The following is a 14,417-nucleotide window of genomic DNA, read 5'->3' as shown; positions in this document are numbered from 1 at the left end:
AATACTCTGCAAAGTCCCCACCAGCAAGAAGGGACTTGACTTTGGACTTCTCAGCCTCCAGAGCAGTAAGAAGAAAATTTTTTACCATATAAATTGCCCAGTTTCAGGTATTCTGTCACAAGCAACAGAAAATGGACTAAGAAACATCCAGTTATCTCCTTCTCGAAGCTGTCTCCGGTATTTAAGAGGAAACGTTAAAGACGCAGCCCCGTCACATCCCTCCATCAAATGGACTAAGACACATCCAGTTATCTCCTCCTCGAAGCTGTCTCCAGTATTTAAGAGGAAACGTTAAAGATGCAGCCCCTGTCACATCCCTCCATCAAAAAACATAGGCTGCCTCGTGGAATCAGAGTCCTTCCCAGCCTCCAGGTAGGTAAGGCTGGGGCTGGGGGCTGTGGGGCTGTGCTTTTAAAAGCCGTTTCTGTGGATTCTTGGTTCTGCTGAGTAGCCAGATCTGAGAACCAATGATCAGGTACTAAATATGCTGTCCCATGTGGTGGTCACCAGCCCCCGTGGCTACTGAGCACTAGAAATGTGGCTAATGGGACTGAGGACCTGGATTTTCAACTTCATTTAATTTTAATTATTTGAGGTGATAATAAAGTAATAAAGTTATTAGGAGCCTTTTTTTTTTTTTTGAGACGGAGTCTCGCTCTGTCGCCCAGGTTGGAAGGCAGTGGTGCGATCTCGGCTCACTGCAACCTCCACCACCTCCCGGGTTCAAGCAATTATCCTGCCTCAGCCTCCTGAGTAGCTGGGATTACAGGTGAGTGCCACCACATCCAGCTAATTTTTGTATTTTTAGTAGAGACGGGGTTTCACCATGTTGGCCAGGCTGGTCTCAAACTCCTGACCTCAGGTGATCCGCCCATCTCAGCCTCCCAAAGTGCTGGGATTACAGGTGTGAGCAACCACACCCAGCCTAGGAGACATTTAAGTGTGTTTGGAACAACTTGACTATGTGAACCTTCATTTTTAATTGTGAATTTTATAAAAGTAAATACAGATAGAGCATTTACTTAGAAATTGTGAATTGAGATATGCTGGAAGTATATGAGTACGAAAAGAGTATGCAAGATATCTTATTACTGATTTTTTTTGTATGTCACAGAATCCCCCAAAATCTTGGCTCACTGCAACCTCTGCCTCCTGGGCTCAAGTGATTCTCATGCCTCAGCCTCCCGAGTAGCTGGGACTACAGGCACCCACCACCATGCTGAGCTAGTTTTTAGTAGAGATGGGGTTTCACCATGTTGGCCAGGCTGGTCTTGAACTCCTGATCTCAGATGATCCACTCGCCTCGGCCTCCCAAAGTCCTGGGATTACAGTCGTGAGCCACCGTGCCTGGTCTCATTACTGATTTTTAAAATACTGATTACATGTTGGAATGATAATATTTTGTATGTACTAGGTTGAATAAATATATTGTTGAAAATGATTTTTTTTTCTTTTTAACTAGAAAATGTAGAATTATGTGTGTGGCTCCCATTCTGTTTCTGTTGAACAGCTGCTTTAGAAGTAGATGCAAGGGGTGGAGAAAAGGGTGGGGAAGAGGCCTTCAAGTGAACTCAGTTTCTGATGAATTTTGGAGACCAGGGGGAGCTTAGGGTCAATCCAGGACAGTCAGGGCTTTAAAATAATTAAACAGGATGGTGGCCCCAGTTGCCACTGCCACCCACCCAACTCCTCAAATACCCAAGATGTGCAAGGGAACTATGGAACAGACAGGTTAAACAAATGTGATTAATTCAGTATAGAAAAAAAGAGGCCCAGCTGGTGACAGAGGTTGCTAACCATCTATCCAGAAACCCAGTGTCCACCTCCTGGGCGGCAGCGCCAAGTTGGGTGTGTTTGTCAGTCAATAGCCCTTAACAGCCACCAGGTACCATCTAAAAAACTGTACCACCTCTTGTCATTCTCCTAAATTAAAAACTCTGCTGATGGCCAGACGCGGTGGCTCACGCCTGTAATTCCAGCACTTTGGGAGGGCGAGGTGGGCGGATCACCTGAGGTTGGGAGTTCGAGACCAGCCTGACCAACATGGAGAAATCTGTCTCTACTAAAAATACAAAATTAGCCGATAATCCCAGCTACTCGGGAGGCTGAGGCAGGAGAATCACTTGAACCCAGGAGGCAGAGGTTGCAGTGAGCTGAGACTGAGCCACTGCACTCCAGCCTGGGCAACAAGAGGGAAACTCTGTCTCAAAAAAACAAAACAAAACACAACTCTGCTGACAACCCATGCTGTCCACACAGGCAGGGGTGGAAGCCCAATACGTGGCAGCTCAGATAGTGCACAGAAGCCAAGTAATAAATGTCTGCTTTCCTAGAGGAGATCTAAGGACCATCATGGCCACACTTGCCTATTTTTCCAGAGATGCTGGGAAATCCATTTTATTTTTTATTTTTATTTATTATTATTATTTTTTGAGACGGAGTCTTGCTCTGTCGCCCAGGCCGGAGTGCATTGGGCGATCTTGGCTTAATGCAACCTCTGCCTCCCGGGCTCAAGCGATTCTCCTGCCGCAGCCTCTGGAGTAGCTGGGATTACAGGCGCGCGACACCACGCCCGGCTAACTTTTCTTTATTTTCTTCTTCTTCTTCTTCTTTTTTTTTTTTTTTTGTATTTTTTAGTAGATACTGGGTTTCACCATGTTGGCCAGGTTAGTCTTGAACTCCGGACCTCAGGTGATCCACCTTCCTAGGCCTCCCAAAGTGCTGAGATTATGGGCATGAGCCACCGCGTCCTGCCAGGAAATCCATTTTCTAAGTCCTAACTTTTAAGCACTGGCAACCAATCCCAAAGTTTCTTCAAACACAATGTGGGCCAAATAACACGTGTGGGAAGTTCAAGCCTAAAGTACAAACTCCGGAGAGCAACACAAATATGGCTTGGACGTGGCCTGCCTCTTTCATCTCCCCTAATACATGCGGCGTACCAGCCACTCTGAAGGGATCCCCTTCCGCCTTCCTGGCCTTTGCCCAGACGGTTCCCTCCTCGTGAAACACCCTCTACCACTTCCTTGGCATCTTCAAGACCCTCATTAAATACCATGTCCTCCCCTTGAGGAATCTTCCTCATCCCCACAGCCATTCTTTGGGTTTCCTCCTTTCAAGCCGTGGCGTAACTGGGTCAGATATTTCTTTGTACCCCCCAAAGGAAGAAAGGGGAACTAATTTGAAGTTCTGAAGACTTTATCTATGTTATTCCCATTTAATCCTCACACCAGGTCCGCAAAATGGGCGTCACCTTTATCTTCTCCCTACAGAAAACAAAGCCACGTCTCAGAGAGGTTAGGGGAATCCCCCAAGGTCACACAGCTCTGCGGAGTGGGGCAGAATCTGGAATAAAGGTCGGGTCAGTTTCCAAAAGCCAGGGCCCCTGCTGCTCTAGCTATTCTGCAGCTCTGAAAGTTTCACCTCGTTCCAGGAAAGCATTTCGTTCAAAAAAATCCAGCCTTGAAAATATTAGGTGTGCGCGCGCCCGTGCGCGCAAACACACACACACAACACACACGCTATATACAGATACACACAGACACACACATTATGTGTATGTATATACTAGCAGATACCATCTATTAATATTACTGAAACAAGTTATCGCAGAGAAGTGACAAGCATGGAGACAGCCGCACACCCCTCGGAACCGGTCCCCTCCACCAGCCTGCCCTGCCTTCGCCCGTGCCTTGACCCGCAGTCGCACCGCAGGACAAAATGTCCCCTTTTCCTTCGGAAAGCAGAAGCCAGTGTAAATGCAACCGGGAGAACCAGAGAAGGGAGTTGCAAGGCCGCTTCCGCCGGGCCGCCCTGAGAAGGAGCGGGGTGAGCTAGTCCAGCGCGCGTACCCGGAGCGACCCCGGCGTGCGCGGCGCCTCCCTGCGCAGGCGTGCGGCGTGCGGCCCGCGGCGTGCGGCCCGCGGCTGTTCCCGGCGCGGATACTTACTGCGCGGCGGGGCGTGCAGGTCGCATCGATGTCGGTGCGCAGGCCACGGCGGCCGCAGAGTGGGGCCAACTCTGCCGGCCGCGGGACCCGGGTGAGGGTCTGGGCCTGGGCTGGGCTGGGTGACGCCAGGAGGCCGGCTACTGCGCGGCGCCCGAGAGTCCACATGCTGCTCCGGGTCTGCCGCCCGCTCCGCCCTCCAGCGCTGGGTGCTGCGGCGACCCCTGGTGGCCACTGGCCGCAGGCACTCTTCTGTGGGGGAGCAGCTAGAGGTTAGACCTCAGGAAGAACTTCCCAGCTTAGCACTATTCGTGCATTTAACAAAAATGGAGAGCCTGCTTTGTGCAAAGCACGGAGTGCAACCAGGACCCCTGACCCAAGGGAGACTGCAGCCTGGTGGCCCGCCGCTTCTAAAATTCTAAACAGGAGGAACTTGGGAGCTGCTGTCTTGCTGGGAAGTGGGTGCATGCACAAATTGAGGCTGCTTGGCCGCCGGTATGGGTTTACAGCAGTTGGGTATGTGGGGCCAGGAGACGGATGCCTTGTGTAAATCTGTACTCTGCCCACTTCCTAGCTGTGTGACCAGAGGGCAAGTTAATTAACCTCTCTGTGCCTTGTTTATAAAATGCGTTTTATAAAAGTTCCTACTTCATAGGATTGTGGTAAGGATAAAATGAGTTAAGCCCTGTAAAGTTTTTTTTGGACAGGGCATGTTCCTGTTAAGTGCACAATAAATATTGTTAATAGATTTTATTGATTGATTGATTGATTGAGACGGAGTCTCGCTCTGTCGCCCAGGCTGGAGGGCAGTGGTGCGATCTCGGCTCACTGCAAGCTCTGCCTCCCGGTTTCACGCCATTCTCCTGCCTCAGCCTCCCGAGTAACTGGGACTACAGGCGCCCGCCACCATGCCTGGCTAATTTTTTGTATTTTTTTTTTTTTTTAGTAGAGACGGGTTTCACCGTGTTAGCCAGGATGGTCTCGATCTACTGACCTCGTGATCCACCCGCCTCATTTATTTGTTTGTTTGAGACAGAGTCTCACTCTGTTGCCCAGGCTGGAGTGCAGTGGTGTGGTCCTGGCTTACTGCAACTTCTCCCTCCCGGGCTCAAGCAGTCTTCCCATTTCAGCCTTCCAAGTAGCTGGGACTACAGGTGTGCACCACCACACCCAGCTAGTTTTTGTATTTTTTGTAGAAAGGGGGTTTCGCTATGTTGCCCAGGGTGGTCTTGAACTTCTAGGCTCAAACGATCTGCCCGCCTGGGCCTCACAAAGTGCTGAGACGACAGGCGTGAGCCACCGTGCCTTGCCTATTGTTGATAGATTTTAAAAGAGAATTTTATTTCTGTTACATATTACAAAGGGATGCAAATTGTGAAAGTTTTCTTCACATTTTATATATGCTTTAGAGGATGTCAAATGTGAGCCGAGTGTGGTAGTGCATGCCTGTGATCTCAGCTACTCAGGAGGCTGAGGCGGGAGGATCACTTGAGCCTGGGAGCTCAAGGCTGCAGTGAGCTATGATTGTGCCTGTGAATAGCCACAGCATTCCAGCCCGGCCATCATAGCAAGATACTGTCTTAAAAAAAAAGAAAATGTCAGTTGTGTACACTTTCCATGGCAGAGAAGATGGGAAGGTACTAAAGTTCTTCCAAAGCCACTTTGTGAATCGTGAAGAGAGACATGTTTACATACTTAGGATGCTAAATGACAAGTGTCAAGAGGAATGTAAACTAACAGGTGTGAGTGTTGAGTGGGAGATTTATATAGAGCTAGGGATGGGGGAATCAAGGAAGTATTCATGGAAGAAGTGGTGTTGGCACAGGGCCTTCAAAAATAGGGTGGAGGAGGTGGGATCTGATTGCCTATCAAAGAGGTGGTCCAGGGCATTCTGGATGAGAGACATCCTTCTGTGTTTAATTAATTCTAGGCAGCTGCTTAAATACTGTTATGTATATGCCAGGCCTGGAGAAATCATTTTCCCCCTGCAAAGTATCTGGAGATGCTTTTGATTGTCACAACAGGCAGCTGTGGGGTGGGTATGTTCTACTGGCATCTAGTAGGTAGAGGCCAGGGATGAAACATCCTGTGATGTGCAGGACAGCCCCCCACCTGTGCAACAAAGAACTATCCAGTCCAAAATTCTGCCAAGATTGAGAAGCCCTCCTTGAAACCATAAAGGGAGAGCCCATAGGCATCAAAGGGTAGTGTTTTCATTGCCAGCCATGGTCTCAGACTCTGCCACACCAACAGTGAGGCCCTTCCTCACATCATCAGAACTGCATTATATACTCAGAGAGAGAAAGCTGCATCATTAGTTATTATTATTATTATTATTTGAGACAGAGTCTTGCTTTGTTGCCCAGGCTGGAATGCAGTGGTGCCATCTCTGCTCACTGCAATCTCCACCTCCTGGGTTCAAGAGATTCTGTCTCAGCCTCCAGAGTAGCTGGGATTGCAGGTGCCCACCACCACGCCTGGCTAATTTTTGTATTTTTAGTAGAGATGGGGTTTCATCATGTTGGCCAGGCTGGTCTCGAACTCCTGACCTCAGGTGATCCGCCCGCCTCGGCCGCCCAAAGTGCTGAGATTACAGGCGTGAGCCACCGCACCCTGTGCTACATCATTATTAGCTAGCATGCTTAGCAAGTTCTGGCATAGAAAGGTCACTAGCAAATGCTCCAGCTCCCTGCAAAGTTGATATCATTGCCCCATCTTTTTGGCCAAAGAAATAGACATAGAATAGCATATCAGAGAAGACGAAGGCTTCGCAAGAACTTGTCTTTCTCCACTTCCTTGGAGGTAGTCAAGAGGAATCAGGCACACTTGGTAAGAAGCTGGGGCACCGTGGCGTGGGCAAAGATGTTGAGGGACTCTGTGGTACACTGTAGCTGTTCCTCTCTTGGTTGCTTTTAGCCTCAAGTAGGCAGATCCTAATAGCTGTCAGGTTATGGGTAGGGGAGGATATCACCAGAATTCCCTTGCTCTGCCATTAGGATATTTTGATAGGATTTATCAGAGGGCTATGATTATCAAATGTGGTCGCTGGGCCAGCAGCCTCAGCATCACCTGGAAACTTGTTAGAAATACAAATTCTCAGGCCCTATTCTCGATCTACTGAATCAGAATCTCTGGGGTTTCAAGGCCCAGCAATCCATGGTTTAACAAGACCTCCAGGTGATTCTAATGTGCTTTAAAGTTTCAGAAGCACTGTGGTAGCATAGGCCTTGGGCAAAATTGTGAGTTAAGCCAGTGTCACCAGGGTGATCATTTTAAATCTAAAAATCTAAATCTCAAATGTGAATCTAACCATAGCCCTCTGCTTTCACCACCATCAAGATAAATTCCAACTTTCTTAGCATGACAGAGGAAGCTCTCTTGCCCACCTTAGCTCTCCCAGCGCCCTTACCACTCTCTTCTGTACACCCCACTCTGCATATTGGGAGGCATCTAGACATCTTTGCTTCTTCAAGCTATTTGTAGTTCCTAGAACAAGTGATGCTTTTTCCCTCTCTGGCTATCCCTCATGTTGTTCCTTAGTCTTCCATCCCTTTGCCTGGTATGGAAGATTGGATCTTCCAAAGAAGGCCACACCAATATTTGTCACATGTCATATGCTGTTTGGGACTTTGACATTCCTGTCACCCAGGGATGTTATCTATTCTCCTCCCTTCGAATTCGGGTTTGGGCTACAACTATTCCAACCAACAGGGTACTGCAGAAGTGCTGCTTGGTGACTTCCAAGTCCAGGTCATAAAAATGATGCATCTTCCTTCTAACTCCCTCTCTCTCTCTTTTTTTTTTTTTTGGGTTTTTGTTTGTTTGAAACAGAGTCTCATTCTGTTACCCAGGCTGAAATGCAGTGGTGTGGTCATAGCTCACAGCAGCCTTGACCTCCTGGAATCAAGTGATCCTCCTGCCTCAGCCTCCTAAGTAACTGGGACTATAGGTGTGCATAACCACACCTGGCTGATTTTTAAAATTTTAAAAATTTTTGGTAGAGACAGAGTCTCACTATGTTGCCCAGGCTGGTCTTGAACTCCTGAACTCAAGCAACCTCCCACCTCAGCCTCCCAAATTGCTGAGGTTACAGGTGTGAGCCACTGTGTCCGGCATTCTCTTTTTGGGATGCTGACACTGAGGACCAGCCATCATGTTTTGAGGAAATCCAAACTAGCCAAAGTAGAGAAACAATGTAGAGAGAGCTGAGGCCCCCTCAGCCAACAGCCAGGGTCAACCAGTAGACATGTAAATGAGTCATTCTTCAGATAAATTCCAGCCCCCAGCCTCCCAGTCTTCCAGCTGAATCCTTAGACATCATGGAGCAGAAACAAGGTATGCCTTATGTGTTCCATGTGAATTTCAGGCCCACAGAATCTCTGGGCAGAAAAGATGTTTTCATAGCTTTAATCCAGTATGTTTTAGGTAATTTATTACACAGCCATAGTAACCGGAACATGGGGCTACTTTCTTCATATCCTGTAGGACTCAACTCAAATGTCAGAGGTGACTTCCTCCAGAATCCTTTTATGAAACCAAACTTTCATATTCCCACAGGTGTGCCTTAGGTACCTCTCTCTGTTTCCACAGCCTGCAATGTAATTGTTAGTTTTCCTGTTTATCTAATATCTCTGACATAGACACTCTACTGGTGAATGAGTGATATTCTTTGTTGGCCTCCTGTTTCTTCAGTAGCAATCACTGTTGCTAAGGGAATGGGGTAACACAATTGGCCAGTTCAGGGACAGGGCATATTACCTGATGAAGGGCAGTGAGAAACCTTGCAGGACACCAAAACAAAAACAAAACAAGACAAAACCCAATCCTCTACAGATGACCAAACCTTAAGTCTCCAAATTCTCACTCATTCTTGCTTAGTCCTGGGCTTCAGCTCAGTGCTATGATTCAGTGCCTAAAGACTTAACTTCCTGTCAGGAGGTGACTTCAACTCTGGGGAAAAGAAATCCCACTGCATTTGCTTGGATTGATTGGTAAGAGAGATTGATAAAAGGATGTTCTTTGACATTTGCCAAGGGCAATTTTTTTCTATAATGAGGGAAGAGAAACAGCTGTTTGTCCCAGGAGACTGATTATGGCACTAGAGTCAAATCCACACTCTGGAATGCAATTTGATACATCACCTTAATATTAATATAGATTAAATTCATAAGATACTCAGCAAAGTAATCAATAATTCCAAAGTCAATAAATATTAAACATGTGAATGATGTAGATAATGAACTAATTATTGAACGTTTCAGTGGCCAGAAAAAAGGAGGTTTGGATTTATTTTCTGAGAGTGGCTCCCTTTAGGGTCCCTTGGGCAGTGTGTGATAGCTTTTGATCTGTGATCTGACAGATTAAGGGAGCTTCAGGCAGAGGCCTCTCTCTTGTACAAAAATACTCTTCTTGCTTACTGTTGAGGGGACAAGAGGAAAGAAGCATGTGATGTATCTGAAATATAGCCTTTAGAGAGTCATTCTTGTTTTAACTAAGGAATTTGCATTAATATGCCTAATGAAACCACCTTTGTAAAGGTTATGACAGTGAGAGAAATTTAGCTTGGCTGACTCCATCTTGCTTCTAGTCTCATAGGCTGGCTGTCCTCACTTATTCCTGGGCATATAACAAAGGCCACGCCAAGCTAACTGTGGGAGGAATTTAGTGTATAGTTTCACTTTGAAGCAAGAATGATAATAGTCCCTCCCTAAAACTGAGCCCCTCCTTTTTCGGGGACTGAAACTGCCTTTGTAAAACTAATGAAAGGCCACAAGATTAGGATTATGGGAGGGGTCTGAATTCTGCTAAGATGTAGGAATAGCTTGCCTTTCTATAATCTATGCTGGAGGTCACAAGATTTGTGACTTCCCCGTTTGCTCTTGTAAATAACATCACTATTGTAGAACCCAAGATTCGTCTTTTGAGATGATTTTCAGAACTGTGCATTCTGGGCACCAACTGACTTCACTTGGACTCACGACTCATGACTCAGCCAGTCCTGTGGCCCCCACCCTATGGTGGACTCAGCACATGAGGATTGTTTGCCATGCTTTTATCCCCAATCAGCAGCACCCATTCCCTAACTCCCTGCCTGCCAACTTATCCATAAAAACCCTAGCCTCTGAGTTCTCAGAGAAACTGATTTGAATAATGAACTCTTGTCTTTCATGTGGCCAGCCCTTGCCTTAATTAAACTGTTTCTTTACTGCAATACTGCTGTCTCAGTGAATTGGCTCTATCTGTCCAGCATGCAAGAAGTATAGTATAGTAGAAACAAGTAGACTTTGTGGGCTTAGACAAATGTATTTGCAAAGCATAATTTTCAAAAAGTTAAAAACAATTCTCATGCAAATTTGTAGTGAGCATGCATCAAAGATTAAATAATTAGTGGAGTTTTAGGTACTGAAGTGTGTTCTCCCAAAGTCCATAGGTTGAAATTTTAACTGCCAGGACACTCAGAATATGACTATATTTGGAGATAAAGCCTTTAAAGAAGTAATTAAGGTTGGCCAGGCATGGTGGCTCATGCCTGTAATCCCAGCACTTTGGGAGGCCGAGGCAGGTGGATCACTTGAGGTCAGGAGTTCGAGACCAGCCTGGCCAACATGGTGAAACCCCGTCTCAACTAAAAATACAAAGAAAAAAAAAATTAGCTGGGCATGGTGGCGGATGCCTGTAATCCCAGCTACTCAGGAGGCTGAGGCAGTAGAATCACTTGAACCCAGGAGGCGGAGGTTGCAGTGAGCTGAGATCGCGCCACTGCACTCCAGTCTGGCGACAGAGCAAGACTCCGTCTCAAAAAAAAAAAAAGTAATTAAGGTTAAATGAGGTCTCAAGTGTAGGTCCTAATGTGAAAGGAGTGGTGTCTTTATAAAATGAGAAAGAAACACCAGGAACACATGTGCACAGAGAAAAGACCACAGGAAGAGGCAGCAAGAGGGCGGCCCCCTGCAAGCCACAGGGAGAGGCCTCAGAGGAAACCAACCCTGCCAGCACCTTGATCTTGAACTTCCATTATCCAGAACTCTGAGAAAATAGATTTCTGTGGTTTAAGCCAGCCAGTCTGTGGTATTTTGTTATGGCAGCCCTAGCAAAATACAAGAGGGAGCCAGCAGGAAGGCAAACTGGTTTAAAGGAAGCTGGAAGAAACTGATCTATAATAGTCAGTGATAAAAAGAGCATTCTGGCGTAAGATTGCTAAGTGAGATACACAACTGGGTAGTGTCCTTCAGGTCTATAAAACTATAGTCTTTGGGGTTACTTTCTTAGACAAGAGTCATTTGCATCTTACCAGTTTTCTACAAGCTGACATTCTTTTCTCTTTTGTTTATTTATTTATTTTGAGACGGAGTTTTGTCACCCAGGCTGGAGTGCAATGGCGTGATCTCGGCTCACTGCAACCTCCGCCTCCCAGGTTCAAGCAATTCTTCTGCCTTAGCCTCCTGAGTAGCTGAGATTACAGGCATGTGCCACCAAGCCTGGCTAATATTTGTATTTTTAGTAGAGACGAGGTTTCATCATGTTGGCCAGGCTGCCTTGGCCTCCCAAAGTTTTGGGATTAAAAGCATCAGCTACTGTGCTTGCTGTTTATTTTTTTATTTTAATTTTTTTGTTTATTGTCTTCTAAAAATTGACATCCTTGAGACCTAATTAATGGCAAATAATAAGTCGAGCATAGTCACACTGTGCTGGAACAGAGTTTCTCAATGGTGACTATTTACTGATGTTTCTACTGATTATAGTCATGTGCTGCATAATGCTGTTTCAGTCAGTGATGGACCACATATGTGATAATGGTCCCCTAAGATTATATTTTTTTACTGTACTTTCTCTGTGCTTAGATATGTTAGATACATAAATACTTAACTACTGTAGTACAATTGACTATAGTATTCAGTATGGTAACATGCTGTACAGGTTTATAGCCTAGGAGCAGTAGGCTAGACTGTATAGCCTAGGCGTATAGTAGGCTAGACCATCTAGCTTTGTGTAAGTACACTCTATGATGTTCGCAAGATCACAAAATCACCTAATGATGCATTTCCCAGAATGTATCCCTGTTGTTAAGCAACACATGGCTAACTCTGTCGTGGTGGTTGTCCCATGCATTGTAAGGTGGTTTAGCAGCATTCTTGGTCTCCACCCACTAGATGGCAGTAGTATCTGCTCTCCCATTCAATAGTGACAATCAAAAATGTCTCCAGACATTGTGAAAAGGTCCCCTAAGGAGTAAAATTGCCCCTGGTTGAGAACCACTATTCTGGTCTAACTTTGAATTAAATATTCAAAGCAATCTTTTTGCCTTACTTCCAAGTTTTAGATAATTTTCATAACAGTGTTCAAATCCCTGCTCTGCCCCTCAACTACCTGTGTGTCCTTGGTCTATTTTTAACCTGAGTTTCAGTTTCTTCATCTGTAAATTAAAGCAAATACTTCTTTACCTCAGAGATTTCCATGAGGATGAAGTGAATTAGTATGTGCAAAACACAGACATCAGCGAATGCTAGCCCCACACTTGGCCTCATGGTTGGTCATGGTGTCTTTTAAGAGGCATGTTTATACACCTGTGGTCACAGAGGGCACCCCGGGGCCACTTTGGTGGCCAGGCACACACATCCAGGTCTGGGCTTTCAGGGGACTGCAGGCTAGTGCAGATCACCGGGAAGTCAGGACCCTGCAGCTGAGCTGGGTGCCTCCCTTCACATTCTAGGCAGGACAGAGGAGTGGGTGGCCTTGACAAGAGTTAGGGGAGAAGAGGGGAGCCAGTACCCCTACCTTCACCCTTGGCCATCACTGCAGGCCAGTTCTCTTCTCTGCCTCTGACCTGATGCAAGTATCAACACCATCACTACTTTCTTCCAGTGCTCAGGGACCTGATGTGCCCCTTGCTGGAGGAACCCGTCTTGCCTTGTCTCTTGCCTTAGGCAATATGGTACCAGAATATAGGGTCAGGAATTCCACGTGAAAGTATAACTAGCATCTTTGTTGCTATCCTTCAACCTTCTACATCTACTATTCAGAGGTGATCTTGTTGATGAACTGAGCTAATTTATGTGTGTGTTGTTAAAATAGGTTGTGGCTTGGTAGGCGTTGAGGGAAAAGGAGCTTTGATGGCCCTCGCCTCACGGGGAGACAAGTGCCTTTACTTGGAAAACCACTTTAAGAACAGCCTAGATCCGTCTGTGGGACTGCATTGTCCAACAGAGAACGTCTATGTCTGGGGGCCTGGGACTCTGGAAAGGGTTATTTTGGGGTTTCAGAGTGATTCAGTCTAAGGCGGGGGCACAGCCGTCTCCCATCTGTGGGGGATAATTGCTTGCTCTCCATTCCCTGCTTTTTTTTTTTTTTTTGAGTTGGAGTTTTGCTGTTTCACCTAGGCTGGAGTGAAGTGGTGCGATCTTGGCTCACTGCAACCTCCGCCCCCTAGGTTCAAGCAATTCTCTTGCCTCAGCCTCCTGAGTAGCTGGGATTACAGGTGCACGCCACCACGCCTGGCTGATTTTTGAATTTTTAGAAGAGACAGGGTTTTGCCATGTTCGCCAGCCTGGTCTCGAACTCCGGACCTCAGGAGATCCACCCACCTCAGCCTCCCAAAGTGATAGGATTACAGGTGTGAGCCACCATGCCTGACCCATTCCCTGCTTATTATAGAACACTAACAGGCAGACTGGGCTTGAGTCTCTGAGCCTGACACTGTTGCATAGTGGAGAGTCACTGGTTGCAGGGAAAGGAGAATCAGGCCAGAGCATTCACATGGTGTCTTCTCTCCAGGCTTCTTGGCTCCCCTCTTTCATCCCATCCTGCCTGGCTTCGCTGAATGAAAGCTCTATGAACTTCGCTCATCTGTGATGATTGTGACTTGCCAGTAATGCTAAATGCTGCACCAGGCAGCAGGGCACCCGGTGGGATGAGGTGGGAGTTATGGGGCATCAGGGGGAGGCTGTATGCAAAAGAAAGGGCCACCTGTCCTAGACCCACCATACCATTGGTCGACCCTGGGCAAGAAGACCTGAACTTCCCTGGATTTTAGTTTCCTCATGGATGAAATGGGGATACAAACACTGCCATGTTTTCCTCCTAGATTGTGAGAATCAAGTACAAACGTTTTTAGAAAGTGGGAACAGGACTTATGCTATGATATTCTGAGAGAACTCAGGCTAATTTTTTTTTTTTTTTTGAGATGAAGTTTCACTCTTGTTGCCCAGGCTGGAGTGCAATGGTGCGATCTCAGCTCATGGCAACCTCCATCTCCCGGGTTCAAGCGAGTCTCCTGCCTCAGCCTCCCGAGTAGCTGAGACTATGGGTGCCCGCTACCACACCCAGCTAATTTTTTGTATTTTTAGTAGAGACAGGGTTTCACCATATTAGCCAGGCTGGTCTCGAACTCCTGACCTCAGGTGATCCACCCACCTCAGCCTCCTAAAGTGTTAGGATTACAGGCGTGAGACATCACACCTGGCCCAGGCTAATT

At 46.7% G+C, this 14,417-nt stretch overlaps 1 protein-coding gene across 2 annotated transcripts in view, besides 5 other annotated features; it reads right to left on the bottom strand.

Moving 5' to 3' along the window:
• The window catches only part of FXN (frataxin), a 43,325-nt gene extending 39,180 nt beyond the window's left edge, over positions 1-4,145 (bottom strand). For both annotated transcript variants that reach the window (NM_181425.3, NM_000144.5), the window contains exon 1: positions 3,950-4,145. In NM_181425.3, the coding sequence (NP_852090.1) occupies positions 3,950-4,114 (165 nt within the window). In that variant the 5' untranslated portion in view covers positions 4,115-4,145. The remainder of the gene's footprint in view (positions 1-3,949) is intronic.
• Positions 2,593-2,610: a repeat instability region, noted in NCBI's record as "repeat instability region; expansion of the (GAA)n trinucleotide repeat region is associated with Friedreich ataxia". NCBI's record gives the evidence for it as "EXISTENCE:Southern hybridization evidence [ECO:0000078][PMID:8596916]".
• Positions 2,593-2,621: a tandem repeat, named in NCBI's record as "Friedreich ataxia repeat instability region".
• Positions 2,910-3,204: a silencer, noted in NCBI's record as "tiled region #187; K562 Repressive non-DNase unmatched - State 2:TssF". NCBI's record gives its function as "represses a minimal TATA promoter and a strong SV40 promoter by Sharpr-MPRA in K562 cells {active_cell/tissue: K562}" and the evidence as "EXISTENCE:reporter gene assay evidence [ECO:0000049][PMID:27701403]".
• Positions 3,577-3,626: an enhancer, noted in NCBI's record as "active region_28445". NCBI's record gives its function as "activates an Ori minimal core promoter by ATAC-STARR-seq in GM12878 lymphoblastoid cells {active_cell/tissue: GM12878}" and the evidence as "EXISTENCE:reporter gene assay evidence [ECO:0000049][PMID:35858748]".
• Positions 3,787-4,256: a silencer, noted in NCBI's record as "silent region_19931". NCBI's record gives its function as "represses an Ori minimal core promoter by ATAC-STARR-seq in GM12878 lymphoblastoid cells {active_cell/tissue: GM12878}" and the evidence as "EXISTENCE:reporter gene assay evidence [ECO:0000049][PMID:35858748]".

Source organism: Homo sapiens, chromosome 9 (assembly GCF_000001405.40).
Source record: "Homo sapiens chromosome 9, GRCh38.p14 Primary Assembly".
Taxonomy (NCBI): domain Eukaryota; kingdom Metazoa; phylum Chordata; class Mammalia; order Primates; family Hominidae; genus Homo; species Homo sapiens.
This window is presented reverse-complemented; position numbering and strand designations above follow the sequence as displayed.